Genomic DNA, 14930 nt, shown 5'->3' on the forward strand with positions numbered 1-14930 from the left:
TGTTACTGGAATAAAAATATCACAAGCTTTTTTTGAATTCATGTTAATACATGATGAAAACAAAAAGCACAGAAATATATATCATAAATTTCAAGAAACAGTCCAATCCCCTTACCAAGCTCTCTGGACTCTGAAATTTGTATTCTATTTCATTGAGGCTTATTCAGTTCTGTTCTTTCCCAGTCAAAAGTCTTTTTAAAAATCATAAATCTTAATGAGCTGCAATTATGCCTGACTCAGATGATGTGAGCATTCAATGAGTGCAGCTCATACCCCACTCTCTGCTGGGTCAGCCAATGTAGGACCCGCAGCCCCTGAGCTATTGGCCCAGAGTGTGGGGAGGTGACCCTGCTGAACCAATAAGAGCCTTCCTGGGATGTTCAGCCTTGGATGTTGAAGAGGAAACTGGTGTGGCTCTTTGCTTAGGTTTGGTAGCTTTATTGTCTAATCTTTTGCTCCCAATCATGGAGATTTAAGGATATAAATTCAGGGCTAGTAGTTGTGGACATAATTCCTGCCTCATACATCATGTTAGTCCATTTGTGCTGCTAAATACCTGAGACTGGGTAATTTATAAGGAACAGAAAGTTATTTCTCACAATTCAGGAGGCACCAGCAAGTTTGATATCTGGTTGAAGGATCAGGTTCTGCTTCCAAGAAAGCATCTTGTTGCTGCATCCTCATTTGGAGGAAAGTGTAGGGACAAAAGGGGCCTACGCAGTTCCCTCCAGCCCTTTTATAAAGTCGTTTATCCTGTTCATGAGGGCAGAGCCCTCATAGCCTAATCACCTGCTAGGGCCCCCACCTCTGAATACCATTACATTGGATATTAAGTTTCAACATGAATTTTGGAGTAGACACAAACATTCAAACCATAGCACATGGCAACTGATTAAGAAAAATAATGTGACACACACACACACACACACACACACACACACACACAAGCTAAATGAATGTTATCTTATTTTTTTCACTTCCAAGCACATATGCCTGAAAATAAAACCCACCACCTCAACTTGGAAGGATGAAATCCCAGCTCCCAGTGCAGTCACCAGTACAATGGGTTTGGTCCTTATTCCTGGCCCCTTACTGCCCATCTCCTCTTTGATCCTGGCCTGTTACTACTGGATAAGAGGAGAATAAGGATGGTGTGAGGAGGAGAAAGTTTGAAAAAGTAGCCACTCTTTCCCCTTATCTTGAGGGACTTTAAAAACAAATCTAGGGTCATCGGCAGGTTTTGCCCAGTCCCTGAGGAGGACATTAGGGGAACATGAGAGCACCCAGACTTCTCTTTAGTGGGTCATCAGTCCAGTCCTTGCATGCTGACCCGTGGTCCATCTGAGAGATGTGATAGGCCAGCCCTGCCCCTCATGGCTTCTACTATTACTAAGTAATACCAAAACCCATCCATAATTTAACTACCTCTGCTTCCAAGATCTTTCCACACAGAGGTAAGTGTGAACAACATCAGCCTTTGGAGGTTGAAACTAGGCAGGGACCATATGGCTTTGGGTGGACCTGATGCTTGATCAGATATTTTGTCATGCACTATAAGGAATCTTGTTTTAAGAATAAATAATATGCATAGTCATTACACTTGTTAAAATAATTGTGAATAGTGAATTCTGTCCCTTCTAGTAACTGAGAGTCCTTTCCCAGATGGAATCTTCTCACAGAACTGAAGGACCTTACCCATGGCCGGGTAGGTTTTGGGTTAGGTCTGACACCAGAACCCAGGACGATCTCTTGAATTTCACTCCAGCGTCTGCTCTATCAGACATGGCATTAGACTGAGTGTTTGAGCCTATCAGAGACTCATAGAAACTGTGCCTCTCTGCATTAACCTGCTTGCCAAGAAATACGTTAAAATAAAATCTAAATGCTATGTTGATTTGCTTGATCTCCCTCAATATTCACTTGGTTAATTAATTCAAATTAAAATGTGTAAGCACATTTTTCTCTTAACAAACTCCAACAACTGGGGATATCAGCAATCATGCTGAATTCCAGGGGCTGCTTCTCCTTTTCACTGTCTTTGAATTTCTTCTTGTGGCCTCAAACCTGAACCCATTTTCAACTCCATAGGTATGTGGTTTTGTAGACAGGAGGGTGACAGAGGGATTACAATGGAAGTAGCAGTGCTATATTTGTGTTTTTATCCCATGTTGTTTGAAGCTGTAATTTGTTCATTTTCATTTCTGTGTTGTAATGCATTATAGGACTATAACACTATTCTTCTGTTGATGAACATTTGCATTGCTTTATGTTTTGTACTTAATGATCAATCTTGTTCACATCTTTTGGTGGACATAAAAACTCATTTCTGTTGCATATATACCAGGAGTGCAACTACTGAGTCAGAGCATACATGAATGTTTAACCTTAGTAAATACTGACAGCTTTCCAAAGTGCTTTTTCAATTTGTAGTTCCAGCCAGAATGTATATGTGGGTTCTAGTTACTCTGTATCCTTACCAACTCTCCACATTATTTGTATTTCAACTATTATATGCCCATTTCACAGATGGGCTAACCCCTGGGCCTAGAAGAGGTTACTTTTCTAAAGTAAATACCAAGTCTGAATTCTAGATTCTTTCCACTATGCCAGGTTTTCAACTTTTAGATTATGAGTTTCCAGTACTCAAGTATTGGTTGTTCCAATTACACAGGATAACACTTTTGTAACTTTAAAATTATATGTATTTTGGCCGGGTGCAGTGGCTCATACCTGTAATCCCAGCACTTTGGGAGGTCGAGTCAGGTGGATCACTTGAAGTCAAGTGTTCAAGACCAGCCTGTCCAACATAGGAAACCCCATCTGTACTAAAATACAAAAATTAGCCAGGTATGGTGGCACATGCCTGTGATCCCAGCTACTCAGGAGGCTGAGGCACAAGAATTGCTTGAACCCAGGACGCAGAGTTGCATGAGCCGAGATGGTGCCACCGCACTCCAGCCTGGGTGACAGAGTGAGACTCTGTCTCAAAAATAAAAAATAAAAAAAAATTACATGCATTTTGAGTTACCCCCACAAATGAATAGAATGATACCTGTACCCTGATATGCATCTATATTAGTAGTCACTCAACATCACATCTCAATGATGACGATTGTTGTGGTGGTTGAGGTTAAATTGTTTCCTTTGGTCTAAGACATGGGCTGACAAACTTTTTCCATAAAGGGCCAGAAAGTAAATATTTCAGGCTTTGTGGGATATCTATTTATGATTTATTTTACTCCTAGTATTATTTCATCTTTTATACAGGTTATTAAGGTTAGTATTGCTGCATAACAAATTACTCCAAAATTTAATCATTTATATTCAAGAAGAGTTCAGCTGCTAGGTTCTTATTTTGGGACTCTCATGATGCTGAGGTCAAGATGCCAGCTGGAGGCCAGGCGCCGCAGCTCACGCCTGTAATCCCAGCGTTTTGGGAGGCCAGGGTGAGTAGATCACCTGAGGTCAGGAGTTTGAGGCCAGCCTGGCCAACATGGTGAAACCCCGTCTCTGCTAAAAATATAAAAATTAGCCTGGTGTGGTGGCATGCCCCTATAATCCCAGCTACTCAGGAGGCTGAAGCAGGAGAATCGTTTGAACCCAGGAGGTGGAGGTTGCAGTGAGCTGATATTGCACCACTGCACTCCAGCCTGGGTGACAGAGCGAGACTGTCTCAATCAATCAATCAGTCAATAAAATATGTCATCTAGGACAGCAATCATCTTTAAGTTGGACTAGGATGGAAATCCAAGAGGGCTCACTAAGAGGGATGGCAGTTATTGCTGGCTTTTGGATTACAACACAGCTGGAGCTGTCAATCAAAGAGCAAATATATGGCCTTTTCAGCATGGTGGTTTCAGGGTAGGAAGAATTGTTACATGGCAGCTGCTTCTCCAAGAGTGAATATTCCAAAAATGCCAGGCAGATCTTTGTGGGGTGTTTTGACCTAACCTCAAAAGTCACACAAAGTGATTTACACTGTATTATACTGATCAAAATAGTCGCAGGGCCTCCCAAATTCAAAAGGAAGAGACAAAGTCCACATCTGTCAATGCGAAGAATGGAAAGGTCACATATCATATGTGGAGCGGGACATAACAACTTCGGAAATTAAATCTCTTCCCCAGGTAAATAAATGGATGCAATATGCATATAGATATTCAATAGATCAATGTTGTTAATAGTAAAAGTATGGAACATTTCTAATGCTAATCAATGGAGAATTGATTAAATAAACTTTGGTAACTCTAAAGAGTAGAATATTATGCAACCATTAAAATGTATAAGGTAGTCCTATGTAGACTGACATGGGAATGTTCTGAAGATATAGTTTTAAGTGAAAGAATCAAGTAGCAGAACAGTATATACAGTACAATTTCATTAAATATACAAATTGTATATGAAATAAGCATAGAAAAATTTAGTAAAATATAGCATACAACCCCACCCTCTACATTATATGTATGTTTGATTTTCTGTAGTTTTTATAATTAACAACATAGTAAACATTTAGCTACATATATCAATAAATCTTAAAATTCTCATAACTTTTGATCCATTAATTCAAGTTCTTAGAATAAATCCAAATAAAATAATCAAGGAAATGTACTAACATATAAATATTAAAACATGCATAATAGAGAAAAATTATGTGACTTTAATTCAATCCATTATAGTGAAAATCTGCATATATAATACTTTGAAATAATCAATATTATGACAGATTTTTATCACAGCTTTATTGAGATATAATTCTCATGCCATATAATTCGCCTATTTAGGGTGCATAATCCAATGGTTTTTTAATATACTCACAGAGTTGTGCAACCATCATCACAATCAACCTTAGAACATTTTCATCACCTCAAAAAGAAATCTCATGCCCATTAGCAGTCACTAACATTTTCCCTTCAATTTCCCACCCCTAGCCCTATGCTACTACTAATTTACCTTCTGTCTCTATGGATATACCAATTCTAAATGTTGCATATTAATGGACTAATACAATATGTAATAATTTGTGACTGGATTATTTCACTTGGCACAAGGTTTTCAAGGTTCATTCATGTTTTAGCATGTATCAGCACTTTGTTCCATTTTTTTGCCAAATAATATTCCATTGTACAGACATACCATATTTTATATATCTATTCATTGAGTGATAGGTATTTAAGATATTTCTACTTTCTAACTATAATGAATAATGCTGCCAGGAACATACACATTCAAGTTTTGTGTAGGCATATTGTTTCATTTGCCTTGGGGATATACTTAGGAGTGGATTGTTGCGTCATAAGGTAATGCCATGTTTAACATTTTGAGGAACTGCCCAACTGTTTTCCACAGTAGTGTGCCATTTGATGTTCCCACCTATAGTATGTGATGTTTCCAATTTCTCTACATTTTTGCAAACACCTGTCATTATATTTCTTGTTTATTATATCCATCCTAGTGGGTATAAAGTGGTATCTCATTATGGCTTTGATTTGCATTTTCCTGATGGCTAATGATGTTGGGCACATTTTCATGTATTTATTGGCCATTTGTATATTTTCTTTGGAGAAATACCTATTCAGATCCTTTGCCCATTTTAAAATTGGGTTTTTAAAATTATTTAGTTGTAAGTATTCTCTATGTATTATAGATACAAGTCCCTTATCAGATACATTACTCGCAAAAATTTTTCCTATTCTGTTAGTTGTCTTCTCACTTTCCTGATGATGTCCTTTGAATCATAAAAATTGTGCATTTTGATGGAGCCTCATTTATCTATATTTCTTTTGTTTCTTGAGCTTTTGTTGTCATATCTAAAAAACCATTGCCTAATCCAAGGTCATAAAGAATTACACCTAAGTTTTCTTCTAAGAATTTGATAGTTTTAGCTCTTACAATTAGGACTTTAATCTATTTTGAATTGTTTTGTAGATGGTGTGAAAAAGAGGCCCAAATTCATTTTTTCTGCAGGTAGATATCCATTTGTCTCAGCACCATTTGTTAAAAAGACTATTCTTTCATAGTTGAATTTTCTTGGCACAACTGTAGGTATGAGGGCTTATTTCTGGACTCTCAATTATATTCCATTGATCTATATGTCCTTATGCCAGTACCACACTGCCTTGATAGAAATCTGGAAGTGTGAGACCTCCAATGTTTTCCTTTTTTTTAAATATTGTTTTGTATATTCTGGGTTTCCTGCATTTTCATGTGGATTTTGGGATCAGCTTACCAATTTCTGCAAAGAAGCCAGATAAGATTTTGATAGAGATTACACTGATTCTATGGATCAATTTTGGAAATACTAAGTCTTCAGATCTATGAATATAGAATGGTTTTCCATTTATTTAGGTATTCTTTTATTTCTTTCAACAATTTTTTTTAGTTTTTGGTGTACAAGTCTTGGACCTTTTATTGAATTTATTTCTAAGTGTTTTATTATCTTTATGCTATTTTAAGTGGAATTGTTTTCTTACTTTCCTCTTTGAATAGTTCATTGCTAGCACATAAAATACAATTAATTTTTGTATATCAATCATATATTCAGCCACATTGCTGAACTCATTTGTTAGTTCCTACAGTTCTTTAGTGAATTATTTGGGATGTTCTATATGCAAGATCACATCACCTGCAAATAGATAGTTTTACTTCTTTCCTTTCAACCCGGATGCCTTTTATTTCATGTCTCTTGCCCACCCTGAAGATATCTGAATGTATGTCAGAAAATAAAGCTCTTCATTTTCCCTCAAATATTTAACTAATTATACAAATATAGTTTCTATAATAGCCTATTTTTTACTACTGATCAGAAATGTTTCCCTATCACACACTAAAAACTTGTATATTTGGGTGTGTTAGTGGGCTTTCTTGTTTTATTTCTCTTATTGTGCTTATTTCAGTACTATATTGGTTAAAATTGTAGCCTTATAAGTCATTCTGCTTCCTTGAAGTGTGAATTGTCCCACCAGGGATAAATGAAATAGCACGCCAGATAAGACAATGTAGCTAGCACAGTGCTGCTAACGTAAGTGGCATCTCTAGAGGGCAATATCACTTACTTGTGGCTGTCCTTTGTGTCCCGCCACACATAATAGTGTCACTATCAATTGGGTTGATGAACAGTTAATAAAGAATTATTTTTACTGTGTATTAAGTGCCCAATATATAAGGATTAATTATTTTTATAAACCAAACACCCAAAGATAACCAGATTAAACGGGTATACTAAGAAGATTATGTAACTAAACCTGTAATGATGGACATTTGTGCTGTTCCATTTTTTTTAAATTATAAACTAAGCCAATGGAATCACTATTGTAGTTATAATACAAACAAAGAATAAGTGTTCAATAAATAATTGCTATGGGAATCTTTTTAACATAAATTTTTTGAGACAGGGTCTGGCTCTTTCACCGAGGCTGGAGTGCAATGGCACAGTCACAGCTCACTGCAGCCTCTACCTCCCGAGAGCAATCAATCAATTCTCCCACCTCAGCCTCCCAAGTAGCTGGGACTACCGGTGTGCGCCACCACACTGGGCTAAATTTTGTAATTTTTGCGGAAACAGGGTTTTGCCATGTTGCCCAGGCTGGTCTCAAACTCCTGGGCTCAAGCAATCCACCCACCTTGGCTTCTCAAAGTGAAAATTTGAAATATAAGACTACTTTAGCACTGTATTAATTATCTCTGTGGGTACATCAAAAAGCTAGAAAGATATCAAGTTAACAACCTAACATCACAACTAAAAGAGCTAGAGAACCAAGAGCAAACAAACCCTAAAGCTAGCAGAAGACAAGAAATAGTCAAAATGATAGCTGAACTGAAGGAGATAGAGCTATGAAAAACCCTTCAAAAAATCAATGAATCCAGGAGCTGGTTTTTGGAAAAAATAAAATAGATAGACTGCTAGCCAGACTAATGAATAAAAGAAAAAAATCAAATAAACACAATCAGAAATGATAGGGGGATATCACCACTGACCCCACAGAAATATAAAAACCATCAGATAATACTACAAACACCTTTATGCACATAAACTGGAAAACCTAAAAGAAATGGATAAATTCCTGGACACATACAGCCTCCCAAGATTGAACCAGGAAGAAATTGAATCCCTGAATAGGCCAATAACAAGTTCTGAAATTGAGGTAGTAATAAATAGCCTACTAACAGCAACAACAACAAAAAAGCCCAGGACCAGACATATTCACAGCTGAATTTTACCAGAGGTACAAAGAACAGCTGGGATAGTTTCTATTGAAACTATTCCGAAAAAATTGAAAAGGAAAGACTCCTCCTTAATTCATATTAAGAGGTCAGCATCATCCTAATACCAAAACCTAGCAGAGATACAACAAAAAAGAGAAAACTTCAGGCAAATATCTTTGAAGAACATTGATGCAAAAATCCTCTATAAAATACTGGCAAACCAAATCCAGCAACACATCAAAAAGCTTATCCATCACGATCAAGTTGGCTTCATCCCCGAGATGCAAGGTTGGTTAAACATATGCAAATCAATAAATGTGATTAATCATATAAACAGCACTAAAGACAAAAACCACATGATTATCGCAATAGATGTAGAAAAGCCCTTTGATAAAATTCAGTATCCCTTTATGTTAAAAACTCTCAATAAACTACATATTGAAAGAACATACCTCAAAATAATAACATCCGTATATGACAAACCCACAGTCAATATCAGACTGAATGGGCAAAAGCTGGAGGCATTCCCCTTGAAAACCAGCACAAGACAAGGATGCTCTCTCTCTCACCACTCCTATTCAACATAGTATTGGAAGTTCTGGCCAGGACAATCAGGCAAAAGAAAGAAATAAAGGGTATTCTAATAGGAAGAGAGGTAGTCAAATTATCTTTGTTTGCAGATGAAATTCTCCTATATCTAGAAAACGCCATTGTCTAAGCCCAAAAGCTTCTTAAGCTGATAAGCAACTTCAACAAAGTCTCAGGATATAAAATCAATGTGCAAATATTGCTAGCATTCCTATATACCAACAATAGGCAAGCTGAGAGCTGAATAATAAATGAACTTCCATTCACAATTGCTACAAAAAGAATAAAATTCCTAGGAATATAGCTAACAAGGGAAGTGAAGGACCTCTTCAAGGAGAACTACAAACCACTAATAAAGGAAATCAGAGAGGATTTCAGTGAGGACCCAAACAAATGGAAAACATTCCATTCTCATGGATAGAAAGAATCAATATCATGAAAATGGCCATACTGCCCAAAGAAATTTATAGATTCAATGCTATTTCCATTAAACTACCATTGACATTCTTCACAGAATTGAAAAAAACTATTTTAAAACTCATATGGAACCAAAAAAGAGCCCAAATAGCCAAGACAATCCTAAGCAAATAGAACAAAGTTGGAGGCATCACACTACCTGACTTCTAACTATACTACAAGGCTACAGTAAACAAAACAGCATGGTACTGGTACAACAACAGACATATAGACTAACAGAACATAATAGAGAACTCATAAATAAGACCACACACCTAGAACTATCTGATCTTCAATAAATCTGACAAAAACTAGCAATGGGGAAAGGATTCCCTATTTAATAAATAGTGCTGGGAGAAATGGCTAGCAATATGCAGAGAATTGAAACTGGACCCCTTCCTTATACCATATATAAATATTAACTCAAGATGGATTAAAGACTTAAATGTAAAACCCAAAACTACAAAAACCCTATTAGAAAATCCTAGGCAATACCATTCAGGACATAGGCACAGGCAATTGCAACAAAAGCAACAATTGACAAATGAGATCTAATTAAACTAACGAGCTTCTACACAGCAAACAAAACTCATCAGAGTGAACAGACAACCTACAGAACGGGATAAAATTTTTGCAATTTATCCATCTGACAAAGGTCTAATATCCAGTCTCCAAGAAGCTTAAACAAATTTACAAGAAAAAAACAGCCCATTAAAAAGTAGGCAAAGACATGAACACACACTTCTCAAAAGAAGACATACATGAGGCCAAAAAACATGTGAAAAAAACCTCAACATCACTGATAGAGAAATGCAAATCATAACCACAATGATATACCATCTTAAGCTAGTCAGAATGGCTATTATTAAAAAGTCAAAAAACAACAGATGCTGGTGAGGCTGCAGAGAAAAAGAAACACTTTTACACTGTTGGTGGGAGTATAAATCAGCAACCATTGTGGAAGACTGTGGCGATTCCTCAAAGACCTGGAACCAGAAATATCATTTGACTGAGCAATCTCATTACTGGGTATATACCCAAAGGAATATAAATCATTCTGTTATAAGGATACATGCACCCGTATGTTCATTGCAGCACTAATCACAATAGCAAAGATATGGAATCAACTGAAATGCCCATCAATGATAGACTAGATAAAGAAAATGTGGTACATATACACCATGGAATACTATGCAGCCATAAAAAGGAATGAGATCATGTCTTTTGCAGGCACATGGATGGAGCTAGAAGCCATTATTCTCAGCAAACTAATGCAGGAACAGAAAACCAAACACCATGTGTTCTCACTGGGAGCTGAATGATGAGAACACATGGACACATGTCAGGGAACAACACACACAGGGGCCTGCTGGGGGCAGGGAGGGAGAGCATAAGGAAGAATAGCTGGTGGCTGCCAGGCTTAATACCTGGGTGATGAGATGATCTATACAGCAAACCACCATGGCACATGTTTATCTACATAACAAACCTTCACATCCTGCACATGTGCCCCTGAGCTTAAAATAAAAGTTGAAGAAAGAAAATTATCATTGTGGGTAACTATTAGAAGTGAAATTACTGGCACAAAAGATCAAATATTAATTTTTTTTTTTGAGACGAAGTCTCACTCTGTCGCCCAGACTGGAGTGCAATGGCGTGATCTCGGCTCACTGCAACCTCTGCCTCTCGGGTTCAAGCAATTCTCCTGCCTCAGCCTACCGAGTAGCTGGGATTACAGGCGCCCACCACCACGCCCAGCTAGTTTTGGTATTTTTAGTAGAGATGGGGTTTCACCATCCTGGTCAGGCTGGTCTTGAACTCCTGACCTCAGGTGATCCACCCGCCTCAGCTTCCCAAAGCGCTGGGATTACAGGTGTGAGCCACCGTGCCTGGCCGATATTTTTATTTTTAAATAATTTACAAAGTTGATCTTCAGAAAAATTTCACCAACATATTCAATAAGAGCAGGGGAGAGTGCATGTGTCCCCAGTCCTTCAACAAATCTGTTAAAAATTTTCATGTAATCTAATCTATCAGCATTTGTCTCTTTGTTGTACAGTCACACTGCGTATCGATTGGTCAACGACAACGGACAGCATAGAATACGATAGGCTATAGTATGTAGCCTAGGAGTGTAGTAGGCTATACCATATAGATTTGTATAACTACACTCTACGATGTTCGCACCACCACGAAATTGCCTGATGCATTTCTCAGAACATATCCCCGTTATTAAGTGGCACGTGACTATAAAGGCCTTCCACACCAAAAGCTTATGTGGAGATAAACGGAGTCTACCCATAAGAGAACAAACAAGTGCTACTTATTCACAGCTTTTTTATAGCAAGGAAGTCAAGCCACCATCATTTGAGTCTGGCAGAGATTCAAAGACAGGCAGGGGAGTGGGAAAGCTTTATAGTGGAAAACAAAAACACAAAGACTTCAGCTACGCTCTGATTGGATGTTGTTGACGTGAGGAAGCTAGAGGCAGGCCAACTAGAGGCAAGCATCCTATGTGATTGAATATGGGTTCATATTTGGGTTTTTCTTGTTTGTCATCAGGTCAAAAAAATTAAAAAGGCCAGAAAGGCTAGCAAATTGATTAAAGTCCTGAACATTTCTGCAGATGCTATACTTTGGCTTTTTGAGCTGCTTGCAGCAAAGGTTGTGGGTCACAGTTCTATTTTCGTATGTGGTCTGGTCATTGTATATTCAGTTTCTCACTTAAGATAAATTAATCGTTGTTTTATTTTGCTTCAAATATAACTTTATTTTTTATTCATTTGAAAATTTATGTTTGTACATGTCAGGAAAAAGGGACAATTTCATTTATTTTGGAAAATTTTTCTTAAGTTTTTTCTAAAGGGCAATATTCTATTCTTTATACAGTACTTAAGTTCACATTCATACGATTTTATCGGGTGGGTCTACGTTATTTCAGTGGAATTTAAGAGCAACATTATCAAGACTCCTCTTCTGGACCGCCCAACTCATTAAAAAAAAAACTGTGATTTTCATTAAGATTCTTTCTTTGATTAATTTCTTAACAAGAAAAAAAGGACAAAAGGGCCCAGGGAGGTAAGAGGGTACCTGCTGGAGAGGTGGTGGGTGGCTGGAAGCGGCTGGCTAGGAGGCGGGGCGTGGGGCGGTGGAACTCCTGGGCTGCGGCATTCACGTGATCTGCACGGGCGCAGATGTAGGCACCGGTCCGAGTGCCTGCCCTCTGTCCCCGCGGCTGGGTCTCGTCTGCTCCGGTTCCTGGGCTCCTAATTCTTGGTCCAGCTTCTTCCAGGTCAGTGTGCGGGCCTTCCACGCTGCCAGCGGAACACTGGAATGGCGGAAGGGGAACGGGTACGGCAGGGGGAAAGGCTGGGGGTGGGGTCGGGTCGAGTCGAGGGAAGCTGGCCCGAGTGTGGACAGAGATGGCGGTGGGAAAACGGCTAGGGGTGGCTGAGGGGGAGCACGTAGGCAGTGGGCAGAGGGTGAGGAAGGCGAGCACCCCCAAGTATCCATGCTCGCTTTCCAGGCACATCCTCTTCTCTGCCCTCCGTCCATTTTGGAGCCGGAGATGGTGGGCTGGGGCCGCCCCAGTAGTGAGACAGTGGAAGTAAACCCCATCTGCCGTTCCCGTGCGTAGAGAAAAACGTTGACCGCGAGGCTGGGGAGGAGAGTTGCCTCTGAGGAAGAAGGGCACAGAGACCCAAAATTAGTTTGGAAAGCATCCTGATTTGGTGCCCGAGGCCTGGAAAGAAATGGCGGCTGGGGTGCGGCGGAGGTAGGGGAGGAAAACGTTGGATGAGAAGGGCCTGGACTCAGGAAAGGGAACCGCGTCCGTGTGAGCCCGCTGAGCGCGCAGACCCTGCCCCTGTCTCCTGTCTGTCTGCAGGTCTGCGCGTCTGTTGTTCCCAGCGCTCTGCGAAGCCTGAAAAGGAGGAGCAACCTGTCCAGAATCCCCGCAGGTCCGTGAAAGTACGGGGCTGCATGGACAGGGGCCCACAAGGGTTGAGAGTGTGGAGGGCCCGGCCAGGGCCGAATTGGGGCCTTTCCCATTCCCCCACCCACATGAACACACACCTTACCAGGCTGAACCAGTGCAGAGAAAGTGGCAGAGCCTGTCAGGCAATGGCTGGCTCACGTGTGTGGGAGGAGTGGCGGGCTACGTGGTGGGCAGAAGGCCCTCTTGGAGGCCTGGCCAGCTTAGGGGAACCCTCATCAGGGGTGAGATGCAAGTACTATCCAGACCTGCATTCCACCCCATGCACTCAGTCTCCCATGTCTCCTCTTTGTCTCCTCTTTCCTCCACCCCCATCCCCCAGGACAGGAAAAGGAGGGGAAATCTCGACATGGAAAAACTCTACAGTGAAAATGAAGGAATGGCTTCAAACCAAGGAAAGATGGAAAATGAAGAACAGCCACAAGACGAGAGAAAGCCAGAAGTAACTTGTACTCTGGAAGACAAGAAGTTAGAAAACGAGGGAAAGACAGAAAACAAGGGCAAAACAGGAGATGAGGAAATGTTAAAGGATAAAGGAAAGCCAGAGAGTGAGGGAGAGGCAAAAGAAGGAAAGTCAGAGAGGGAGGGAGAGTCAGAGATGGAGGGAGGATCAGAGAGAGAGGGAAAACCAGAGATAGAGGGAAAGCCAGAGAGTGAAGGAGAGCCAGGGAGTGAAACAAGGGCTGCAGGAAAGCGCCCAGCTGAGGATGATGTACCCAGGAAAGCCAAAAGAAAAACTAATAAGGGGCTGGCTCATTACCTCAAGGAGTATAAAGAGGCCATACATGATATGAATTTCAGCAATGAGGACATGATAAGAGAATTTGACAATATGGCTAAGGTGCAGGATGAGAAGAGAAAAAGCAAACAGAAATTGGGGGCGTTTTTGTGGATGCAAAGAAATTTACAGGACCCCTTCTACCCTAGAGGTCCAAGGGAATTCAGGGGTGGCTGCAGGGCCCCACGAAGGGACATTGAAGACATTCCTTATGTGTAGTGTCCCTGGCAGGCATTTACCAGGCCATGTGCTTTAACGTTACGGTAATACTTTACTTTAGGCATCCCTCCTGTTGCTAGCAGCCTTTTGACCTATCTGCAATGCAGTGTTCTCAGTAGGAAATGTTCATCTGTTACATGGAAAAAATGTTGATGGTGCATTGTAAAATTAAAAAACACAACTTGCAGAACCAAATATATGGCATCAGTACATTTTTGTAAAACTACAAAGATACTTACCTAGTAATATAGTATAGAAAACAATTCTGAAAGCTGTGTCCACTAAAAGATTAACAGTGGTTATCTCTGGGTGATTTTTTCTGTTCTTTTTTGTTCATCTGTCCATTTTTCTCCTAAAAACAGATTTCTTTAGTCATAAAAATAATAAAATATAAAGTATTGGAAAACAGTGAATATTTGAATTTCATTCATTTGAATAAGCATTCAAATGAACTGCCCAGTGAACTTATAAAGACAGTGGATATACTTAAAATTCTTGTGAGGACATAAAATGATAGGTAAAAGTTGCATTACCTCTGGGACTGGAAGCTGGAGGAGTCAACTCGATGGTTATTACAGAGCCATTGCTGTAAGGGACAGCCTTGACATCTGTGAAATGGGGATAAAATTAGCCTAGACATGTGGAGAAGATCAAATGAGGTATTGAGTGTGTGAGCTGTGTTAGGCTGGCTCC

At 39.7% G+C, this 14930-nt stretch overlaps 1 protein-coding gene across 8 annotated transcripts, besides 1 other annotated feature; it reads left to right on the forward strand.

Annotated features, from left to right (window-relative positions):
• Positions 3145–14643, forward strand: TCEAL4 (transcription elongation factor A like 4). Of its 8 annotated transcripts, NM_001300901.2 has the most exons (5): positions 3145–3446; positions 4008–4127; positions 12539–12674; positions 13133–13215; positions 13563–14643. In NM_001300901.2, the coding sequence occupies exons 1-5, from the start codon at positions 3384–3386 to the stop codon at positions 14235–14237; spliced, it is 1077 nt and encodes a 358-aa protein (NP_001287830.1). In that variant the 5' UTR covers positions 3145–3383; the 3' UTR covers positions 14238–14643. The 8 variants fall into 8 exon arrangements, with proteins under 8 accessions (NP_001287830.1, NP_001292769.1, NP_079139.4 ...); NM_001305840.2 differs by lacking the exons at positions 3145–3446; positions 4008–4127; positions 12539–12674 and adding exons at positions 12429–12538; positions 12773–13021 and having other exon boundaries at positions 13133–13205; NM_024863.6 differs by lacking the exons at positions 3145–3446; positions 4008–4127 and having other exon boundaries at positions 12429–12597; positions 13133–13205.
• Positions 12349–13062: an enhancer, noted in NCBI's record as "H3K27ac-H3K4me1 hESC enhancer chrX:102840363-102841076 (GRCh37/hg19 assembly coordinates)". NCBI's record gives its function as "activates a minimal SCP1, AML or CMV promoter by ChIP-STARR-seq in primed H9 embryonic stem cells {active_cell/tissue: H9 hESC(primed)}" and the evidence as "EXISTENCE:reporter gene assay evidence [ECO:0000049][PMID:30033119]".

This window comes from Homo sapiens, chromosome X, assembly GCF_000001405.40.
Source record: "Homo sapiens chromosome X, GRCh38.p14 Primary Assembly".
In the NCBI taxonomy this organism is placed as follows: Eukaryota; Metazoa; Chordata; class Mammalia; order Primates; family Hominidae; genus Homo; species Homo sapiens.

Coding starts and splice junctions, on each gene's coding strand:
- TCEAL4 (NM_001300901.2), top strand. CDS start 3,384: ATGCCAGCTGGAGGCCAGGCGCCGCAGCTCACGCCTGTAATCCCAGCG. Junction 4,128..12,538: donor AAATTAAATCTCTTCCCCAG/GTAAATAAATGG, acceptor AGCTTCTTCCAG/GTCAGTGTGCGGGCCTTCCA. Junction 13,216..13,562: donor ATCCCCGCAGGTCCGTGAAA/GTACGGGGCTGC, acceptor CCCATCCCCCAG/GACAGGAAAAGGAGGGGAAA.